Source organism: Homo sapiens, chromosome 11, assembly GCF_000001405.40.
Source record: "Homo sapiens chromosome 11, GRCh38.p14 Primary Assembly".
Taxonomy (NCBI): Eukaryota; Metazoa; Chordata; class Mammalia; order Primates; family Hominidae; genus Homo; species Homo sapiens.
In genome coordinates, this window is record NC_000011.10 from 55,789,091 (window position 1) to 55,796,701 (window position 7,611).

Sequence of the window (7,611 nt, forward strand, 5' to 3'; positions counted from 1 at the left end):
TAAATATTAATTGTTAACCCAGAGTTACCACGTTCACATCAAATAAAGCTTTCAACTCCACCTTATACTATAAAATATACCACCAAACCTTCTCCTGTATATGTGAGTGAATAGACAACTATAAAACATAAAATAAACCTTTTTTATTTTTAATTTTTCTAAGCTGAGCACCATGGATCAGAGATAACTTCACTATAATTCTGAGCAATTACTAATATATTGTATTACACATTTTCCAGATAATGTGACCCAAAGTTTGTTAACCCTGGGAAATAAAATGAAAACTTTCAGTTTTAATTTCACCTTGGATTGGGTGGTTTTCTTGGTGTGTGTATACGATGTTGTGTTATTAAAGGATGCAAAATAGTACTCTCTCTTTCAACACACATATGACAAATTAAGCATTATCAATAATTATCCTTCAGAGTAAATGTGTTTCTTACATACTTGCTGCTATATTGTCTTGTATATGGAGACAGGATAAATTGTCTTTGATCCTGAGTTTGTGAATAGAAGAAAAAAGAAGGAGACAAAGAACAATACAAAAAACTGAGTAAAAAGTGAATGTTTATTTATGTACTTTTAATTCATTATGATATCTTGCTACATCACCAGAATTTCCATCATATCAAGGGTAATCAAAGTTAGTGATTTTCAGACCTTCATATACATGCAAATCACCTGGGAGGGTTGTTTGTAAAATGTCCATTCTGGTACAGGAGATTCTGCATTTCTAGCAAACTTTCAAGTGATCCTGGTGTTACTGGCCCTTAGATCCTCTCTGAATATCAAGGATATAAGCAAACATATATATATATATACACATATATATATATATAATTTTCAGTAATTTTTTGTGGTGGCCTTAAGAAATTTATATAACAAGTAAATATCAGATCATAAAATATATATGCTGTTAAACATAAAACATATATATTGTTAGACATATATATATGTCTAAACAACACTCATGTCTAATTGTGTGTAGAGTCACTAGAGGCAATTTAAAATAAGTTTTTATTTTTCTTTTTTTCTATTGGCAATAACATGATTTTAGTGATAAATTTTAATAATTATGAAAACATAACAGTACTTTTTAAAACATAAACATTTAAAGAAAAAGTTTTCATGATTCTTGTATACATCTTAACATACATACTCTCCCTTTAAAGTAAGTTCTTTGCATTGTTTAAATCTTTGCAGACAAAGCTTTTCAAGAGCAAGTCAGTGGAAACTAGTAGAGCAGGAGTTGAGAAAGCCCTGTGCATTATACACTCACCATGTCCCAGAAGTTTTGCTCCATCCATCCAGCAGGATGTTAGACCAGGGCATATAATCTATCCCCGGTCACTCATTTTCTCATTGTATTGCCTATTGTGGGCACAATGTAGTTAATATATTTTAAAATAAATATTCTGTTGCCATTTCAGATTCGTGAGTTCATCTGGATAGCGGATTTTTGTTTGTTTGTTTGTTTTGCTTTAGTCAATTTTGATTAATTAAGGAATCTCAGAGTCCTCACTCCTTAGCTTTCATTTTCAACTTGTCTAAAAGGCACTTTCTGCCAGTGCACATCAACCTTCTCCACCCATTTCCCACATTTCCACCATCCTTCCTCACTCTAGTGCACTAACTCCAAAAACTCACAGGCAACTGTGAAAGCACACTCTGTATGTTATGCCATGTTAATCCCCATGCTGAACTCACAGACTTGTAGCATGCGGTACAAAAATGTGAATGAATCTCTGCAGAAGCTGATGGACTTCAAAATATTTTAGCATTGAAAGCAATTTTAATAAGTATAGTTCAATGAAAGTATGTATGTTTCTATTCAAATATCACCTTCTCACAGAATCCATAGTTGACAACCTAATATAATGTGATGGTTGCCCCTATCCCCTTAACCTGATTAATGTTCTTTCATAGCTGTAGGTGATATTTTAAATTCATGTAATAATTTATTTGTTTGTTATTTGTTTCTCCCAGTAGAAGACAAGTTCCAAGATGGCTGAAATTTCTGTTTTATTTTTTCTTCAATCTCCAATGCTTAGAAAAGTAACTTAGAAATTCAGCCTTCAATGTACTGGATGAATTACAGAGGGAAAGAAAGAAAAAATTCAGACTAAATTGATAATATTTAGCATTATGCCTTATTTACCTAGGTAAGACTTCTGGTGATGTCTCCTCAACGAATATGGCTCCCATCTCATTTTTTAAAAGCCAAAGAACAGGTGTAAGGTAATCAAAGATGACCACGTTTCTTTATATGAATGCTTGTGCTGCTAATTATTGTACTGTTGGAAACTTTCTTTTTCTAATTTTAAGTATTTAGTTTAAGCTGGATACTCTATAACTTTTTGACCATTTTACATTTGCCAGCACCACAAAAACAGTGCTTCCATTATCAACAATATATCTCATAATTAGGTTTGGGATTAATTTTTTTAAATTGTTAGGTTCAATTTAGAGATCTTTTCCTTCAAACTTAATTTAGATTATAGAAAACATGAAAAGTCTCTTCAATATTGTAATTAACATTTCAGAAAATTTTGGTTCATTTGATTAACCTAGTCACAGAAATGCAAACAGGTAGTATTCTGGATTTAATTATCAATAATATCTCTGGATTAGACAGATTCTGGTTTATCATGATGGAAGAAAGTTATTTGCAGCTTGTATTAAGTTTCAGAATACTTGTGGATAATTTTACATACATCAGCAAAACTGCTTTTAGACATTGGCCTAGTAATATTTTTTGTTAATTGGAAATATTAAAATAATACATTGCTACCAGCATTGCTAAAGTGTACTTCAATTTTTTAGGGTTCCGTAATAATTTTGCAAAATTCACAGGAAAAGGGATCTAAGAAATGTAAAAACTTTGCAAAACACCAGTGAAAATATCTCTGTAAGCAATGTATTCTTGCCTTCTATATTAATGATTCCATAAAGAATTCTTATAAGATTTGGCTTCTTTTAAGGCTATAAAGGAAAATATCTTTATGATATCAGAGTAGGCTAACATTTTGAAGATTTAGAAAGCAAAATAAATGGGACTACATTAAAATTAAAATGTATTCCATTAGCACATGGAAAAAAATCTGAGAATGAGAGAAAAATTTTGAAATATATTTAATTGACAAGAGATTAATATCCATAATATAAAGATATCTATACAAACTAATTTAAAAAATAAATATAATGGTGCTAAAATTGGAAAAAGAACAAACCATTTTCAGTTTATCCTTGTATATCATACAATAATATTTTCTTGTAACCTATGACATGAAAAATTATGCCAAATAACTGCTCTGAAGAAACTCAAGCTCATTCACGTCAGAAGAGATGTTCAACAATGTTCAGTTTCATATTGCTTACAATAACAAAAAAAATGGAAACAGCCTTAATAGATATAAAATAAATGAGCAAGATGTGTTATGGTCATACAATCTGATTCCACTAGTACAGAAATCAAGTCGTAATGGTTTCATTACACAAGATTCCACTACACACAGAGGGACTTATTGTGAATTTTGTGTCCTATTTGTTTTAACTCACGCATACACTTACATATACAGAACACACTTTTGACCAAATGTTTTCTGATGAAAATATAATCACATCAGTTGACATATTGGGTATGAAAACATTATTTCTTCATCCAAATTTGGAAAATTATATCTTACCTTTCTATATTTTGGCAATGATAAGAAATAATTCCAGGAAAGAAGCAGGTATTATACCATTTATATGTAATGAAGTTTAGAATTAGAAGTTTATTTACATAATTTTTGAATTCTGCCTTATGTCTATTTCTGTCTTTTTACATGCATATATGTATAAACATATATTTGTGTGTATATATATATATAAACATACATATACATACATGCATGTATAGATGATCATGTATATATATGCATGTATATATATTTGGTTGCCCACTGTGATTGACGCATCTGAAATCAGCTACATGCTCAGCTCTGAACATGTGGGCCTAGTTCTACAGGAATAATGGATATTGCAACTAACTTTGTAAGCAAATCAATCCATGGAAATTGTTAACTCAGAACATACTTAAATTGCTTTTTGCCAAGGAAAACACACTCTAGCACTTAGTGGCTGAAGGCAGTTTGATATTTCTCACCATTCTCTGGACTTACTGGGTGGTTCTTCTTCCAGTCTCACTGGGGCTCACTCACGTTGCTGAACTTACTTGGGGATTCTGATGGAGCTAACGCTTCCAAGATAGCATCACTCACTTGTTACCTGACTTGGTGCTGGCCATTGGTTGTGGTGTCTCAGTATTTTCCCAAGGAGTTTCTCATCTGCTTGTAGGGTACAATGGTTTTATTATGTGGTGTTCTCAGAGCAGCATTTGAAGAGAATGAAAGAAACTGCAATGCCTTTTGATGCCTCAACTCAGAATGCTCACGTCACTCCTGCAATATTTTCTTGGTCAAACAAGTCACAATTCCAATTTAATGAATCAATCACTGTGTTCTCTAGTGGAAGCATGACACACTTGGGAGATAAAACCTCTAAACCCTTAGAGCTCATGGTTTCTCTTATGGGAAAGTTCTAGGTCTCACAAATTATTGGAGGAACAGCAATGTATGTTGGTTGCAGATTTCAAGCATATAATATATTCAGGAGGCTATTACTCCATCCTTCTAAGGTATTGCCAAAGAACCTGCCCTGTAACTAAGTTTCAAAAGGTGTTCCTCATGTTCCAAGCATACTTTTTGAATTTGTAAATACTAGAATATTTGTCTTTAACTGTTGCTTTTCAGGGCCACCTTAAGGTAGGATTACAGTCCTGCAGTTATTCACTTTTGTGTGGGCCAGCATATCATGGGGAATCATCTGAAAATGAGGCTCCTATGCTTTCTTCCACATTCAGGTTGCCATAGGGAATGCCCCATGAGACACAAATTCAGGCTGAGCAAGAAGAAGCAATACAGCAAGGTATGGGCCACGGACATCTGTAGCACTTGATTATGAAATTTACTTGTGTTTTCAGGAATAGGAGTGCTATTGGCTGCTGCATATTTATACCCAGGATGCATGCAGGATAGATTATATCTCACTAAGAGGTGCACTGAATTTTGGAACAGATGAGGCAAGTATTTAAAGTTTTATTGTAATTTGAATTACATGCAAGCAAAGCTTGATAGTTAACTTCATGCTGCATTTTTTTTTCTGAGTAGTTTCAAGGAAATTCCAGTCACTAAATGTGACACAAGAGACTTGGTATTTGCCTTAATTGCCTGTTTTGATGCTTGTAAAGAGTAAGTTGTTAGTGATTCTCCAGAGTTTGAGTCCCTAGGGCTATGAAGTTAAATGAAAGAGTCTTGGTGCCTCAGGTATACACTGTCTGAAGAGACAGGAGGGTGGCAGCCTGTTTCTTTGTATGTAGCAGGTAAGTGTATTCAGGCTTTCTATGAAACTGAAAATAGGGTCTTCCTGATACGGCAAATGGGGCCTTTGATTTTTTAAATGTTAAATCACTGTGTTATTCAATTCTGTGCCCAATAATATTAAAAAATGAGGTCAACACTCATGAAAATATTTAGCCTTATATCCATTGAAAATTATCTCATGATGAATAGTATAAACTTGCTACTTGGAAATGGATATTTATCCATATTTCCTTTATATTCATCTTAAATTAGTGTGTAAATTTTTATAAGATTGAAAACTAGTCAGGCTTAAGGGAACTTTCACCTGATAAATCTTGAGACTCTTATAAGATACTTATGCAATACCTGAGCTATAGTAGATGCTGACCCTTAAGTCATAAACCCCAATAAAATGCCCATTCCACCAAGAGGTCAAAAGTAGGCCATTGTCCTTGTCAACTCCTCAGCAACTAAGATATTCAATGAGAGAAGTAGCCTTTCTAGAATAAAAGTTGGTAAAAAGTGGAATTAGTGTGCTCTTTTTCCAGATTTCTACAATATTTTCCTTTATCCTTAGAATAGAAATATATTCTGAATATTTTAATCAATTTGTCTATATAAACAAATACAGTAGCAATGCATGTTGTTGTTTGATGTAAATATTTTACATTTTCCACAGAATCTTTATTAGTTTATATATTTATGTATAAACATTTTCTATAAGTTATGTGCATGTCATGCTACTAGTTAATGTGTAGACATGTATACTACTGTACACATATACACACACATACACATACACATATATATTCACACATATATATATGTATGAAAACAGAAAGTGTAATAAAAATGGAAAGACACTCCAAAGACTTGGCTTGGTTTGTTTTAGACATAACAGCTGCCTGCATGAGGTATGTTCTTCTTGGACAAAACTAGGACCAGTAACTATTCCTTCTCCTTTTTTCCTTTTAATCAAAGAAAGTCATGACATAATTATCACTCACCCCATATTTTGCTTTGGCAGGAACAATTCTCTTCAACCCTTCCATTAAAAGGAATTATGATGATGGTTTTAAGGAATCTGAGCATGGAGCCCACCTTTGCCCTTTTAGGTTTCACAGATTACCCAAAGCTTCAGATTCCTCTCTTCCTTGTGTTTCTGCTCATGTATGTTATCACAGTGGTAGGAAACCTTGGGATGATCATAATAATCAAGATTAACCCCAAATTTCACACTCCTATGTACTTTTTCCTTAGTCACCTCTCTTTTGTTGATTTTTGTTACTCTTCCATTGTCACTCCCAAGCTGCTTGAGAACTTGGTAATGGCAGATAAAAGCATCTTCTACTTTAGCTGCATGATGCAGTACTTCCTGTCCTGCACTGCTGTGGTGACAGAGTCTTTCTTGCTGGCAGTGATGGCCTATGACCGCTTTGTGGCCATCTGCAATCCTCTGCTTTATACAGTGGCCATGTCACAGAGGCTCTGTGCCCTGCTGGTGGCTGGGTCATATCTCTGGGGCATGTTTGGCCCCTTGGTACTCCTTTGTTATGCTCTCCGGTTAAACTTCTCTGGACCTAATGTAATCAACCACTTCTTTTGTGAGTATACTGCTCTCATCTCTGTGTCTGGCTCTGATATACTCATCCCCCACCTGCTGCTTTTCAGCTTCGCCACCTTCAATGAGATGTGTACACTACTGATCATCCTCACTTCCTATGTTTTCATTTTTGTGACTGTACTAAAAATCCGTTCTGTTAGTGGGCGCCACAAAGCCTTCTCCACCTGGGCCTCCCACCTGACTTCTATCACCATCTTCCATGGGACCATCCTTTTCCTTTACTGTGTACCCAACTCCAAAAACTCTCGGCAAACAGTCAAAGTGGCCTCTGTATTTTACACAGTTGTCAACCCCATGCTGAACCCTCTGATCTACAGCCTAAGGAATAAAGACGTGAAGGATGCTTTCTGGAAGTTAATACATACACAAGTTCCATTTCACTGAACCAGTCTCAAAAGTTGTTTTCAATCCAAATGAACAACCCAAACAGAGGCTACAATGTTTCTAAAGCCTAGAGCATATATTTATATGAGGTTTTTATGGAATTGTCAAATGTGAATTGATATAGCATTCCCAGTATTATCAGGTTCAGAAATCTCTACAAGTTTAGTCCAGTTTATACAAAATGAATGAAAATAAACATTT

At 34.2% G+C, this 7,611-nt stretch overlaps 1 protein-coding gene across 1 annotated transcript; it reads left to right on the forward strand.

Annotated features, from left to right (window-relative positions):
• The first annotated feature begins 6,465 nt into the window (after nt 1–6,465).
• OR5D14 (olfactory receptor family 5 subfamily D member 14) lies at nt 6,466–7,410 on the forward strand. The gene has a single exon (NM_001004735.1). The coding sequence runs from the start codon at nt 6,466–6,468 to the stop codon at nt 7,408–7,410; it is 945 nt and encodes a 314-aa protein (NP_001004735.1).
• Nucleotides 7,411–7,611: the final 201 nt, after the last annotated feature.

Bases quoted from the DNA above. Each gene is read 5' to 3' on its own strand.
- OR5D14 (NM_001004735.1), top strand. From the start codon at position 6,466: ATGATGATGGTTTTAAGGAATCTGAGCATGGAGCCCACCTTTGCCCTT.